The sequence below is a fragment of the Homo sapiens genome, chromosome 4, assembly GCF_000001405.40.
Source record: "Homo sapiens chromosome 4, GRCh38.p14 Primary Assembly".
Classification (NCBI taxonomy): Eukaryota; Metazoa; Chordata; class Mammalia; order Primates; family Hominidae; genus Homo; species Homo sapiens.
The window spans coordinates 98,560,982-98,575,617 of record NC_000004.12 but is presented as its reverse complement, the minus strand read 5'-3'; the positions used below and the strand labels follow the sequence as shown (position 1 = coordinate 98,575,617).

At 43.1% G+C, this 14,636-nt stretch overlaps 1 protein-coding gene across 7 annotated transcripts in view; it reads left to right on the top strand.

Moving 5' to 3' along the window:
* The window catches only part of TSPAN5 (tetraspanin 5), a 188,245-nt gene that overhangs the window by 82,994 nt on the left and 90,615 nt on the right, over nt 1-14,636 (top strand). The window contains exons 2-3 of one of the 7 annotated variants that reach the window (XM_047449473.1): nt 713-874; nt 1,036-1,161. The exons of 5 other annotated variants lie outside the window; for them this stretch is intronic. The gene's annotated coding sequence lies outside the window, so the exon portion shown is untranslated. Of the gene's footprint in view, nt 1-712; nt 1,162-14,636 lie in introns of all 7 variants that reach the window. One more of the 7 variants, XM_047449472.1, reaches the window with a different exon arrangement.

The window sequence follows — 14,636 nt, the reverse complement described above, 5'->3', positions numbered from 1 at the left end:
TCTGAGGAAAAGAAACCCTTGGATTAGCCCCAGTGGTTCTGGCTGGTGAAATTACCCAGTAAATAACCACAGACGTCTCGTTAGCAGAAAGAGAGAAGGGAATCAGCAGAAAGAGCTGGGGAACAAGGTTCACTGGGGGCTTTCAAACTTCTCAGGTAGTATGTGTATTGAAGAGCTTAGATCTGAAAGATTAGGAGTTATATTGTCTCATTGAAAAGAGACTGACAGTATGGGCTTTAAAAAAAAAAAAAAAAGAGCCCGCCAGCCTGTTAGAGATATACTATGTGCTCAAATACTTTTGTGAAAAATTCAGAAAGCCTATGTATAAATCTGAGAGAGAATGTGTGTGTGAGTAGCGATTATCTCTGATGACTTACATATTTTAAATAATTTTCTATATTTTTTGTTTTCCAGATATTTGTATATATGGATCCATTTTGTTCATGTTGAGTTTGTACTTTATTTTTAAAAATTTGCCACTACATTGTAAGCTTTCCCTGTGTCATGAGGTGTTCCTTGCAGAGGGGATTCACAAGACTCTGTTTCCTTCTCCACTCAGCGTGCTGGCTCTGGCTCTGGCTCTGGCCCTTGTCTGCACCTCTCAGCTCCTACACTCCGGAGTCTGTGCTTTTCCTGTGGCCCAGAACATTCCAGCTGCCACCCTCTTCACCTGGCTAGCTCTTAATCTTCGTGGTGCCCTTTTCTTTTTTAGGAGGACTTAAATGCATTGGACAGTGGACAAAGACCATTTAAATGGATTACAAAAAGCAGACTTCACCAGGCAGAGCGGCCTCTAACTTCTTCAGTAATGTTGCCATTTACCATGTGTCTGTTGGGGATCAGGTCCGTCGCTAGGCACCCTTCGTGCTTTTAGGTAATAGTCATAGCTACCCTGAATAAGGGTGAGGAGATGGCATTCCCATTTAGAAAAGTTGAAACCAGGATTGCAAGAAGTGTATGAGCCGGGATGGGAAGCCAGGTCTGTCTCTCTGCCCTTAGATCACGCTGCTGTTACTATTCTTTGTGACACCCTAGGACATTGCCGTGGAAGGAAGGGGAGAAACCTTGATAGGGCCCTTGGATGAAGCACTGCAGCTTATGCTAAGAAGATCAAGGCCCTGTTAGACTGGAAACATTCATTGTAAGACCTAGTGCCATAAGGTAAAGAGGTCTCTAGGAGAATGCTCAAGATCTCTGAGGGATAACTGTTAAATATCCTGTAAGAATTAGGCTTAAATTATACACACGTGAGAAAGGTAAGTGCTCTCAGTGCAGGGGGTAAAATAAACCTTTAGTGAAACTCTATGACGAGGAACCCTGCCCATCAACTGTTGGTAAGTTTAGAAAAAATGAAGAGATGCAATTCAAGGTCAGTAAGTAGGTGAAATATGATGTGCGCATAAACCTTTAAAGGTTTGAGAGGTTGGCTGTTTTTGGTAACGGGTTAACTTGAGGATTAATGAGTCAGGATATATGGAAAGTTAAAATTCCCTTCTCTGCACCATTCAATTCAGTTCAACAAATACTTTCCCAGGCCAAATGGGATCATTAGCCTTGTAGGAAACTCTTGGCCTTTTTAAAATGATGACATTGTGGCCAGTTTTGTAAATACAGTTGATGCGTGAATCTGTAGACCAAGGATCAGATTAATTTTGTAATGCCCTCAGGGAAGGCAGTTGATGAACTGGTTTCTCTGCATCATAAGAGCAGTGTTAATGATCCACTTGTACCATGAGATTCTAACATTCCTGAGTTACCTAAATGCTTCAGTGTTCCCTGCCATGTAATTTTAAGCTGTATGTACATTTTTGGGATAATTTTTATCCATATTTTGTTTAAAAAATGAACTAAACCAAACTAAAATTCAGAACATTTTGTACTTCTGCTTCTTATTAAGATTGTTTAGTCCTTGGTGGGTGATGTGAGAAGATCAGTACTTAACAGTTTGAGAATTCTTGCTCTCATAAATCAAAATAGTATTCGATGACAGTTTTCAAACAGTTTCAAGTGATGATTTAGATTCTCTTGTAGTTGTTATCTACTTTAGAATAGTGTTACTATGATTTAAAAGTTGGTATTTCGGCTGGGCCATGGTGGCTCAAGCCTGTAATCCTAAAACTTTGGGAGGCCAAGATGGGAGGATCACTTGAGCGCAGGAGTTCGAGACCAGCCTGGGCAACATAGACTCTATCTGTACAAAATACAAAATTTAAAAAGTTGTTATTTCATGAGTTTGCATTTTTAAATGCAATGGACAATAGATAGAACTGTTTATAAGATATATTTGCTTGTATGTTTTTCTCTTCATATTACGAGGTCAAACCACAGAGGAAAAATAAAATTTGGAGGCCCTAAGCCTATTTACCCAATGTCTCCTAGAAGAGCCCCCTTCAGAAACTTCTAGCAATTGTTAGTGTTGCTTGGGTTAATAGCCATGGTCAAAGCATGAACAGAACAAAATAAAAATTTTCTAAATATAAAGGAAATATGGTAATAACTGAGAAGCCAAGCATTAATAACTGGGAAGCCAAGCATTCTCTCAATATCCTCTTTCTCCATAAGAAACGTGTAGCATTTTCCTTGGAGAAGGGTCTATGTTACTTTTGTTCAGCCCTTGATGAAAACAACATATGGTTAGTTTTATGAGGACTTAGAGACAGATGGTGACCTACAGGCTAATTATGCAGTGGGCAAGATTCTTTAAACAAATCACTGTGATTGTGACATGGCCCTTTCTCATGAGTTAGACAATCTGGACTGTTCATTGTCACACTAGGTAAACATGTTCCAGGTGAATGAGGAAGAGGTGCTACGTGAGGGAAATGTATTTACAACATCTTTTCATCTCCATATTTACTTTAATGGGTATAAGAGAAAAGGAAGTCAAGAAGGTAAAAGGGGAGCACACTAAAACCTCAGCTAGTGCTAGGATTGTGTTATTTTGGACAGCTAACTTTTCAGATAGCTGAGGGGTTCCCCCATTAAGCATAAACGTTTTTCTTTTAATCACTTTGAATGAACTCTTTCTGAAGTCTTCCTTGCCCTCTGAAAACAGAATGTCTGAGACGTAGTAGGCTTTATAGTGTTTATGATCTTACTTTTCCTGCTTTCCCAAACGTAAGCTTCATGAAGGTAGCGGTCTCAGTCTGTTCTGTGCTGTGACCCTGGCCCCTAGAACAGTGCTGGTACACAGCCACATTAAATATTTGCTGAAGTAAGTGGGAATTAATTAAAGCTCTTTAATCTTCACAACTGTGTCACTGTCCAGGCTTTGTTCTCCCTGTTTGTAGATTGGTCAGGGACCCTAGAGTGCATTGTGCCTATGCTTACGGTCTTAATGTCCCTCTGCCCCAGTGTGGTGGCTCATGGCTGTAATCCCAGCACTTTTGGAGGCCAAGACCAGCGGATCACTTGAGATCAGGAGTTCGAGACTAGCCTGGAAAAAATTGTTAACGGCGAAACCCCGTCTCTACTAAAAATACAAAAATTAGCCAGGTGTGGTGGTAATCGCAGCTACTTGGGAGGCTGAGGCATGAGAATCACTTGAACCCGGGAGGCAGAGGTTGCAGTGAGCCAGGATCGCACCACTGTACTCCAGCCTGGGTGACAGAGTTGAGACTGTGTCTCTAAATAAATAAATAAATAAATAAATAAAATGTCTCTCTCATTATATTGTAATTGCCTTTTCTTGTCTCTCTCCACCACCGGACTGTAATATCATTGACAGCAGAAATTTTGGAGGTTCACTGTTATATCCACAATGTCTGGTAGTACATATTGTTACTTGTTTCTTGAACGTGTGAACAAACTAATTCACCAAAGGAAATGGTCACTGCCCTGGGTCCTTTCCTTTACAAAATCGTATGATGTAGATAGTTTGATGCCCATTTTACATACACACAGCTGAGAGGAGCAGCCGTGATTTGCATCCAGGTTTGTCAGCCTCAAGGCTAACCTTCCACCGTATGGGTAGCTCCTCACCTTTACACACACAAGTGCCCCCTTTCTGATGTCAAATTTTCCTAACCTTGCACAGTATGTGGTTTTTTTTTACTTACCTCACCCAGAATGGTATAATAAAAATGCTGTTATCAGTTTAGTAGTGCTTTTAGTTACTGTTTTTAGTCATTATACTAACATTGTAAATTTGAAAAAAAAAAAAAAAAGCCAGAACGGTTTGTGGGAGAACTTCTTGTTGGTTGCAATGCTCCAGGCTGCCTGGGGTTTGCCAGCCACCCCCCTGCAGTAACCCTGTGCACTTCCCCTTTCCCCAGACTCCCTCCTCCCCGCCAGCAGCCCCTTCTGCGCTCCCCCGTGCAGCCTGCCCTCCATGAGTGGCCACGGACTTCAGGGTCCACGCGGTTCTTCACACCGCCCTTTATGTGATGTGTGTCCCCTCCTTGGCTGTCTGGTTTTGCTTTTGTCAGTAGGGCTAGTGGCCAGCCCATCTCCATTTTGAATTTGCTGTTTTATAATAAGCCTTTGATTTGAAAGCCAGATGATCAGGGCTGCTAGAACTTGCTAGAATGAGGAAAATAGACAAGTGGTCCATTGACCTCTGAGTGAGTTACAGTAACTTTTACTACATGGATTTCTTTTTTTTTTTGAGATAGAGTCTTGCTCTGTCGCCCATATTGGAGCGTAGTGGCGCGATCTCGGCTCGCTGCAACCTCCACCTCTCAGGCACCCTGAGAGGCCCTGTTCTCAGGCCTTCTCAGGGTACTGGTAGGTGAGGCCCCAGCACGCGTTGCTCAGAGCCAGTTTGGCTCAGGTCTGTAGGAGGTGCGATGTGGACATAAGTGGGGTGGAGTATGAAAGAGGAGAGATGGCAAAATGGGAGAGCGTTTACCTGGTCAAGGGCTTAGGTCACATTAGGTTCTCAAAGGCAAATATGGCTTCATGTGGATACTTTCTTGAGTCCATCTCTCTCTGTTTCTGTTCCTCCCTCTGCCTAACCTATCCTGGCTCTAAGCTGGCTCAGACACTGCGTTTGTGTCTTTTCACGTGGCATTTTTCTTTTTTCCCTCCACCTTGCTAAGTGCTGAAATTTGCAGTCAGCATTTATATATGCCCTATAGACAAGGCACATTTCTCTAGTTTTACCTTTCTTGTCATTTGTGATCTTTTAAATTTTCAGTCAATGGAAAGTAATTGTTAATATGAATTGCAGTTTGGAAACTTTGTGCCAGATGATGAAACTGAATGAATCTGTGGTCTTTACGTAGGCAGTGCCTTACGTATGGTTTGGTTTTTGGCCCATGTACTAGATGTTTGCCTTTCTGTGGGCTGTCACAGATCTGGCATGTACCTTTATTTTTTTGGGAGTTTCTACATGTGTTGCTGCAATCTCTCAGCTAAGAGTATTTTTCAGTCCTCTTGCTATTTGTTTTTTACCACTTATAGGGTGAAAGGAAGTAAAATTAGATAGGATTTTGATGTTTGATTTAAAAATCAACATTTCCATGAATTCAAAACTTCAAGAAGATGAAAGGATAACATTGATTCTTCTGTTTAAAGAAAATTGATTTCCTTTGGCTGAAAAAGTTTTGTTCTCTCTCTCTTGGTGTTCATTATTTTAGATGTTCCCTTTGGACTCTGTGCACATCCCCATCATAGAACCTACTATATTTACTATGATAGTAAATTGACCTCTCTGCCAACACCACTGGACCATGTAAGTTCCTTGAAGGCAGGGGTCCCTAGTGACAGGCAGAGTAATATCTGGTACATTGTAGACACTCAGTAAATGTTTGTGAAATGAATAGAGTGACCAAGCAATCTAATGAATATGGTCCTATCATGGTCCCAACCAGTCATTGGACTGAGTATAGTTTTGATGGTGTCATCTCAAATGAACATATCTCAAATCACATCCAGGTTCAGCAAATTTTCTTCTCTGTCTTGCCAAGGTGGGGGCCCCACTCTGAGTCCCAGAGATAGAAACTCCAGTCATCTTTGCATTTCTTTTACTTCCTTAGTGTCTCTTGTATTTTCCTCTGTTTTTCTCCATTCCTACTGCCTCTACTCTAGTTTACACTGTTGGTCACCTTATGTCTGTAGCCTGTGAGCTAGCTTGCTGACACGAGCACCCCCAGCCATCCTGCACTCTGCCGCAGCCAGATCAGGCTGCCTCCCACATCCCTTCTAATAGGACGTCCCTGCAGATGGTCAGAGTGGGTTTTCCCAAGGAGTTCTGCAGGGCGGTGTGTTCCAGTGGACATCCTTGGTCCCCTGAGGACCAAGGCTTAGAAACTGATTTTATGAGCCTAGCCAGAGCTAATCTCTCCATCGTGTTATCCCAGTTCAGGAAGTGGATATATAAAACCAGATTGTCTGCTTACTGCCTTAAAATGAGAATAGAACTGTTTCTATTTCCATTTCATGGCCTGGGATTCTGGTGTGGGAACATCTAGTACACATTTTCTTCCTGTAGTCAGGCCTTCGTGGGAAGCCAAATCATAATCAGATGCTTACTTGGCTGGTATGGAATAAAAACAAAGAGAAGTGAAGTGTCAGATGGCATCAAGGTTAAGTCCGAGGCATCCATTTCACAGTCAGGAGGCTTGCCAGTGGGAATACCCCAAGTGAGTTGGCTTCAGCTGCCTGCATCCTTCTCCACAGTGAGGCTGACTTTGCCAGTGGGTCCTGACCCTCCAAGGCTCAGGAGGTTGCCTCAGGCCCTTTCTCACTACATATTGCTGGGAGTGGCAAGGCCATTGCTGTTCTCTTTGACTATCTGCTTTCCTCCACTTTCAAATCTGACCAAGCCCTTCTGATTGACATTCTTACCCTTAGATATAATACTTTCAATTCTTTAGGGCTTGGAGCTGTTTCTCCAGGATGATTTTGCATGTCTTGGCTTTTTAAAGTTTAACTCTAAGAGCAGTATGCTATCTTTATTTCAAAGCCTTTATATCTTCTCTCCCTCACTCACCATCTCCTTTCCTCAAAACCCTTTTAAGCCCTAACTGTTATTGGTGGGAGTCTAAATTTCTTTGCCTAGCCTCTGAGGTCCTCTGTCTGCCTCCCTGAGTGATCCAGACTTCTTTTCTTTTTTTTGTGGTGGGTTGGTGGTGGGCTGGGGGTGGGGGACTGTCGCCCAGGCTGGAGTGCAGTGGAGTGATCTCGGGTCACTGCAACCTCTGCCTTCTGGGTTCAAACGATTCTCCTGCCTCAGTCTCCCAAGTAGCTGGGACTACAGGCACGTGCCACCACGCCCAGCTAATTTTTTGTACTTTTAGTAGAGATAGGGTTTCACCTTGCTAGCCAGGATGGTCTCGATCTCCTGACCTCTTGATCCGCCTGCCTTGGCCTCCCAAAGTGCTGGGATTACAGGCGGGAACCACCGTGCCTGGCCTCCAGACTTATTTTCTACTTGTTTCCCTGTGGAATAAGAGGACTGGGTCAGAAGCCCCAGCATAAGTCATTCTGTCTGTCTGCTGGAGTTTCCTGAGCTCTAAAAACCCATCTTGCCTATCTCATAGGATTGTTGTGAGGGCCAAATACAGTGACAAGTGTTCATTTTCTCTATTGGTGCAAGATTCTGCGTAGGTGATGTGACTCCTTTTTTTTAAGCTATCATATATTGAGCCCAAGCAGTGTGCATGTATTATTTCATTTAGTCCTTTCAAGTAGATCCTGTTGTCATCCCCATTTTACAGATGAAGAAAGTGAAACTCAAAGAGGCTAGAGAAGTCTCAGGACTGATGGAGACCAGATGAGTCTGTTTAATCCCTTTAGTCTGCTCTGAACTTCCAGTACCCACGGCTATATTGGACTGAACACTCGCCTGACCAGGCCCCCCGCCCCGCCACCACCGCCAACAACTAACTGAACTCGTTTCTACTTCTCTGACCCACTGCCCTGGCCAAAGTCCTCCCTGCCTTTCCAGGCCCCTTTCAGGTTTCCTCTCTCTCCTTTTGTGTCTAGCCCTCATTGCTCACCATCATCTTCTCTGACCTCCTGTGGTACTTGAGGACATACTGGAGGCAGACCCATCTGCGATTACATCCCAACCGTGCTGTGTTGCTTTGAACAAGGCAGCCACATCTCCGAACCACTGAAAAAAGGCATAATAATGATAGCTGGATCCTGGGATTTCTGGATTCTGTAAAACCAATTGTGTAAAAGTTCTTTGTAAATGGTTAGATGTGCCTGGTTTCTTCAGTAATCAGTTATTTTTGAAATTATTTTTAATTTGTCCCATAGTAAGGAATATATTTTAATGTTGTGATGGGCACATACATTTTAATTAAGAGTTCCACAGGAACATTTTCTTCTTTTTTTGTGTGTGTTAAAAACAGTGTTTATTTTGACCCATTTAATTGATTTTGACTATCCACTGTAGGAGGCTACCCACAATTTGGAAGGAACCATCGGGCCTAGATGACAATAAACCCTTTGAGGGCAGGGAATGTATTTTGCACTTCTGCGTCCTCATAGGCCCAACAGGTTACGAGAAGATCCAGTCTGTTGATGGATTTTGTGCTGGGAGTAGGCAGGATGGAGAGACTTATTCAAATTTCAAATTATTTATTGAGTGCCCCTTTGCAAGAATTGGCCAGTTAAACCCTGGGGGGCAGCTTTGTAGCTGCACTACTCGGGAGCCTGCACCCTCTTGAAGACATCATGCCAGCGTCTCCTGCACTTGGCCGTGTAGGCTGCAGCACAGCTGTTTCTGCTACAATCAGCTCCAGTATTTGTATTCCTCCTCTTGAGGCCGAGGCTTGTTCGTTGGCCCCAGGGAATGTGTTGTGTTGGGGTTTGAATCTCCTGTCCTGCGTGCGGTGCCCCTGCCAAGGGCTGTGCACCCACCTGTCCCAGATGGGTCTTGCGTCATGTTTTCCCTGCTATGCTGGTGGTGACAGCATCCTGCTGTCTCAGAGTAAAGCTCAGCTGCATATATGCCACCCGCCCTCCTCCACAGCATCCAGGCTTCCAGTGTAAAAGCCTCTTACAACATCAGGCGGGAGAAAACAAGCCTGCCGCTTGTGGTGCCTTAGCACCAATTTGTCACCCACTTCACTCAGCCCTGGCCCCCTGCTTCTCCTCTGTATGGTATCTTTTTTTCCCATGGCTGCTCCAGCTGGGCTCTGGCCTGACACTGGAATCACATGTTTTGGCTCTAGCCTTTGGTATTATTCTCGAGGTTGTCAGCATACATCCCCACTGCCATCTTTTTCTAATGCAAAGGTCTTTTCATTAATGGATATTTTTTCCTGTGAGACTTGTTTAGGGGAGAGATGCATCCCTCATTTCCCCACCCCCACCCGCCATAAGGTTTTTACAAGCCAAGCTAGAGATTGCTTTCCAGCCACTTTCAGAAAAATGCTGGGGCTCCACTTTGTGTTTAGCACAATCAGCACACATAATTCTTGTTCTGCTTGGGCTCTGTTCAATGTCACTTGCTCCTCCTGACCCTAGAAAGAGTTGAGAATTATAAGCACGGATTATAAGGACTCATAATCTCAGTTGCCAGAGTAAGGGAAATAACGTTTTCACCGGTTCCCTGAAATAGACCTGGCGGACAGCTGTTGCCTCCCCTCCCCTTTCCTCTCATTTCCCCTGGAGATGTACTCTGCCTGTTTCTTCTCCTCGCTAAAACTAAGGAACTTTCCCTTGTGTTTTCTTTTGGCTTCTAGATTGTTCACTTGGCTTTTTATCTAAGCTTGTATTAAATTGCTTCATGATCTGTGCCTGCAGAGGCTTTGGCATAACATGGCTCACAGAGAAGTGTTGTTTGTTGTGGTTGGACCACTTTGTTGCAGCAGCATCTGTTCTTGTCTGAATGGGGCATGCAGGTGAAGCATGTACTCTAGGCCACTGAAAAAGGAGGGAACACAGGCACCTGGACTGACCATTGGCAGCTGTGATCTACTTATGTGACTCTCAGACAGCCTCTCAGCTGCTTGTGATAAAGGCTACAAAATTCCAGGCAGCTTTTTGGTCCCCATAACAAGTATATATAACTCCTACTTTAAGCAGTCCAAATTTAATACAGAGCAATGGGATGAGATGTATGTAGGTGGTGTCACATCCACAAGAATATCTTTAATCATTATTCTTTTCAGCAATTCAGTTTCAAGAGGAATAAGTGAATTTAGGAAATTTGTATATGGGAAAACATTGTCAATCAGTAAATGCGTGGTCTACTGTGTATATTTTCTCCTCAGTTCTTTAAGGCCCCCAAAATGGGATGAAAATTTGCTCAAAAGCTCTCATGCAAAATTATAAGAATATGGAGATATATTAGGAAATGGACAGATAAATATGCTTTCAAGAATCTTATTAAAGTGCTCAACAGTTATATGAAACATGCAAGTATAAGTTGAAAATTTAACTGACATGTGGACATTGAATGTTTCTGTGATTTTAATGAAAAAAAATTCAAGGAACAAGGGGGAAAAACACCAACCGTCAAAAGGAAAAATGCCCTCTATCTACTCATGCAAATAGTCCCCTTGTTCATAGCAGTCACAAAGGATATGACGAGCCATATTGTGCAGGATCCAAGGTTCATGAGAAGTAGGTTTGTAGGTGGCAGGTAGTGGGAAAGTGATTTATGTCCCATGAAAACCCATTCAGCTGTTGTAGCACTTCCAGGGCCTGTGACGTGTGAGGGAGCCATTGTCTTAACACTCAGGGTGAGGACAAAAAGGCTTCAGTTGCTGAAAGGTGCTGGTTTGAGATGGTGATATCCTGTCTCTTTTTCCAGCAGAAGCAGGAACATGATGTCTAGGGTTTTTAAAAGAAAAAGCTTTTGTTCTTTTTTATTTAGTGACAGTAGAAATTAAAGTAGGGCCTTAAAAATTAGAAACACACGTGAACCCCAGGGGGCGAAGCCTGCAGTGAGCCGAGATCATGCCACTGCACTCCAGCCTGGGTGACAGCAAGACTCCATCTCAAAAAAGAAAAAAAAAAAAAAATTTAGAAACACAGTCAATTTTAATGTCAAGACCCAAGCCTCAGCAGTTAAATCGGATGCCTCCTTAAAAAATGTGTGAAAGTTATTTACCCTCATTTCAATTTGGGGCAACAAATGAATGGCTACTTAGGTTAGGTGTGGGAAGCATTAATTAATAATGGGATAAAAGGACTCAGTGAGATTAACTTAGATCACCTATATTTAGCTTCTGATTTTACTTCATTCTGTTTGCTTCTTTCATTAATCTAAATTAACTGCCAGAATTGCATTTATTAGTATGTAGGAGAACAATAATCAAGAAGTGTTTTTATTTATATTCGTAGGAGGCTATGTTGTTATTCATGTGATTCTTAGAAAATAATGGATTTTACACAGGAAAAGATGTTTATACTTTTCAAAGATCTTACTCATTTGGGGTAAGAATTTGATAGAAATGCTAGGATTTGGTGTATAGAAAAGCATGTAAACTGTATGTATCATTTAGGTTTCTAATGCCTGTTATTGGCTTTCATGTAATTTGGATTGGGAGTCTAGAAGGAAGGCAGTGATAACAGGAGGGGCTGGGGAAAAGTGAAATTGTTGCCCATTTCTTCAATATAGTGTGATAACTGTCTCCCATTTAATTTTGTCTCATCACACGTTTTTTGTGTGTGTGTCTGCTTTTTGCCAAAAAGTACTTACTGGTTCTAGGCCTCAAGGAGCTTATGATTTAGCACAGATTTTCTCAGCCTCAGCACTGTTGACGTAGTGGGCCAGGTAATTCTTTGTGGTGGGGACTGTCTTGTATATTATAGAACATCTAGAGACTTCCCCAACCTCTACCCACTAGATGCCAGTGCACCCTTCCCCAATAGGGTGACAACCAAGATGTCTCCAGATGTTATCGAATGTCCTCTCAGGGAGGCCCAGAATTGCCTCCATTTTGGAACCACTGGTTTGACACAGCACGTCTTGCTATAGAAACTCACTAGCATTCTTTGCCATTACAGCTGTTCAGTTACTTATGCTTATTTCTAGTTTTGGAAAAGCCATTTGAAAATGCCCTGAAGTGATTTTTATTCCATTCTCATAATTCTTGAAAAGTGTGTGGAAAGCTAGAGGAGAACTGTTAACTGTGTCTGTGTGCATGTGTATGTGTAGGGGTGTTTTCATCATTGTCATCGTTATTTTATGAAGAAAATGGAGGCCTCAAATGTATGAGCCAAAGGACAAACACTGAGATGTCCATGAGAAAGCAGGGCGAGGACTGCTTTCAGGAAGTTCCTGATATTTCCTGTATTAACACAATCTGTTAAGACCCTGAAAGCTTAGGGCTTAATAAAATCGTTGAGATCTTAAATGTAGAGGATGTAAGATTTTTTATAGATCAGCTTTAAAATGAAGCCTAGGCAAAAATGAAGTAGATTTGCCCCTCTTCACCCTCACCTGCCTTCTCCCGGTTTCTTCTCTTTCCCTCCTCTCATCTCTGCTTGCTCTGGCAGTTCCTTTAACAAACATATTGTTATGTGATGACTTTGATGAATTACAAACAGGTACCTCTCTTTCAAGATACATTATATTCATCTACCAAAAAATGGTCGTAATAGCTGTACAAAGCTGCAGTGACCCACGGTAACTGGAGCCCCAGGAGTTGTGCAGTGCACAGCTTGCACAGCAGTAAGTGGTGGCTATGTTTGGGCAGTTTCATTCCCTCCCATGACATTAGCTTTCACCTGAATGCTGTTCTGTTTTTGACCCTAGACCAAACCTTTTCTGGGAACATCATGCCTATGTAAGCTACCTTTTGGACACATTCTTCCTAGAATACTCTAAAGCATCCCAAGTGTAACATATGCAAAATTGAATTACTGTTTTCCCCAAGCCTGGTTTTTCTTAAATTTAGGAGTCGTCTTAGTCTCTCTTTTTATATACTTATATACACACACTATACACATACACATGTATGTATCACAAGCCTTCTCAGTCCTCCCCGTATAGTTCTTAAATCCTGTTTTTTTGTTTTGTTTTGTTTTGTTTTGTTTTGTTTTGTTTTTTGAGACAGAGTCTCGCTGTGTTGCCAGGCTGGAGTGCAGTGGCGCGATCTCGGCTCTCTGCAACCTCCACCTCCCAGGTTCAGGCAGTTCTCCTGCCTCAGCCTCCTGAGTAGCTGGGACTACAGGCATGCCCCACCACGCCCAACTAATTTTTGTATTTTTAGTAGAGATGGGGTTTCACCATGTTGTACAGGATGGTCTTGATCTCCTGACCTTGTGATCCGCCTGCCTTGGCCTCCCAAAGTGCTGGGATTACAGGTGTGAGCCACCGCACCCGGCCTGTGATTTTCTTTCTACCCCTGCTTTCCTCCTGTTGTCTTATTTCAGTTTTCATCTCCTCTCTCCTGAGGCCTGGGCCATTGCAGTCATCTACTACCTGCTTTTCCTGTCCAGGTATCACACCCCTTCAAGCATGTTTCAACTAGAATGCTCTTGTAAAACACAAATCTGGCCTTACTGTTTCCCATCAGAGCTCTTTGAATTCCTTCTGTTATGCCATAGTTTATGCCTCCTTTATAGCCTTATTTATAACCTCATCCCCTCCCCTCAAATGTCTAGGCATTCAAAATCTGCAAAGTGCAGGGCCTGTTCTAGGCACTGGAGACTCAGCAGTGAATAAAACAAAGTCATTGCCATCATGGAGCCTACTTTTGAGGGGGCTGGACTATTCGCAGTTCTGTGAGCTGCCATGCTGTTTCGTACCTTTGCTGGAATGTGCCTGCCCACAGCTAATCTTCCTGGACAGTGTCTGCTGGAATTTCAGGACGCAGCGACGGTGTAGTGACCCCACTAGCATTACCACTCTTCTTTTTATGTCTTCCTTGTGTTGTGTGCTTCAAGCTTCCTCTTCACCAGGGCCTGGCCTTACCAGGCTTTGTGTTTCCAGCACCTATAGTAGTGCTCAGCGCATAACAGATGCTTCTAAATGTTTATTGAATGAAAAGCACACAAGCATGGAAACACTTTGGGATCCGTGTCCCTCAAATGTGTCATGTATTTTCTTCCTTTCTTTGCTTATACGCTTTCCACTGCCAAGAATATCCACCCCAACCATCCTACCAGGCCCTTATAAGCCACTTGCCCCATTCTTTAAAGTGTCGCTGTCATAAACCCCTGCTGAACCCTTGCCTCAATTACTTATTGACCTACTTGCTTTTTTCATGCTTTCAGTAGCATTTATTCAATAAATACTGAATATCTACCATTTTCCAGGATTTGTGCCAGGTCCTAGGGATATGACAATGGAAAAAGATCTGCTAATATTGTATTTTTAGTAGAGACAAGGTTTCTCCATGTTGGGTCAGGCTGGTCTTGAACTCCCGACCTCAGGTGATCCGCCCACCTTGGCCTCCCAAAGTGCTGGGATTATAGGCGTGAGCCTGGATGACTGTCCTTTTTGCAGTGATGTATAGGCCCAGGCCCTTTCCACGTTATGGCTCTGCTAGCCCCATTGTGTTCCGTTTTATGTGAAAGGGTAAAGAAGAGAGCATGGAGTGGATATATTTGTTTCTTAAAGCCTTGCCTCAGAAGTGACACCTACCACTTCTCTCACAGTCCATTGGTAAAGACAAGTCACAAAGCCACTCAAACTGCAAGGGCAGCTGAGACATGTGGTCTAGCTGGGTGACCAGAAAGACAAAATGGAGTTTTGGTAGACAGCTACCAAACTCGGCCACATA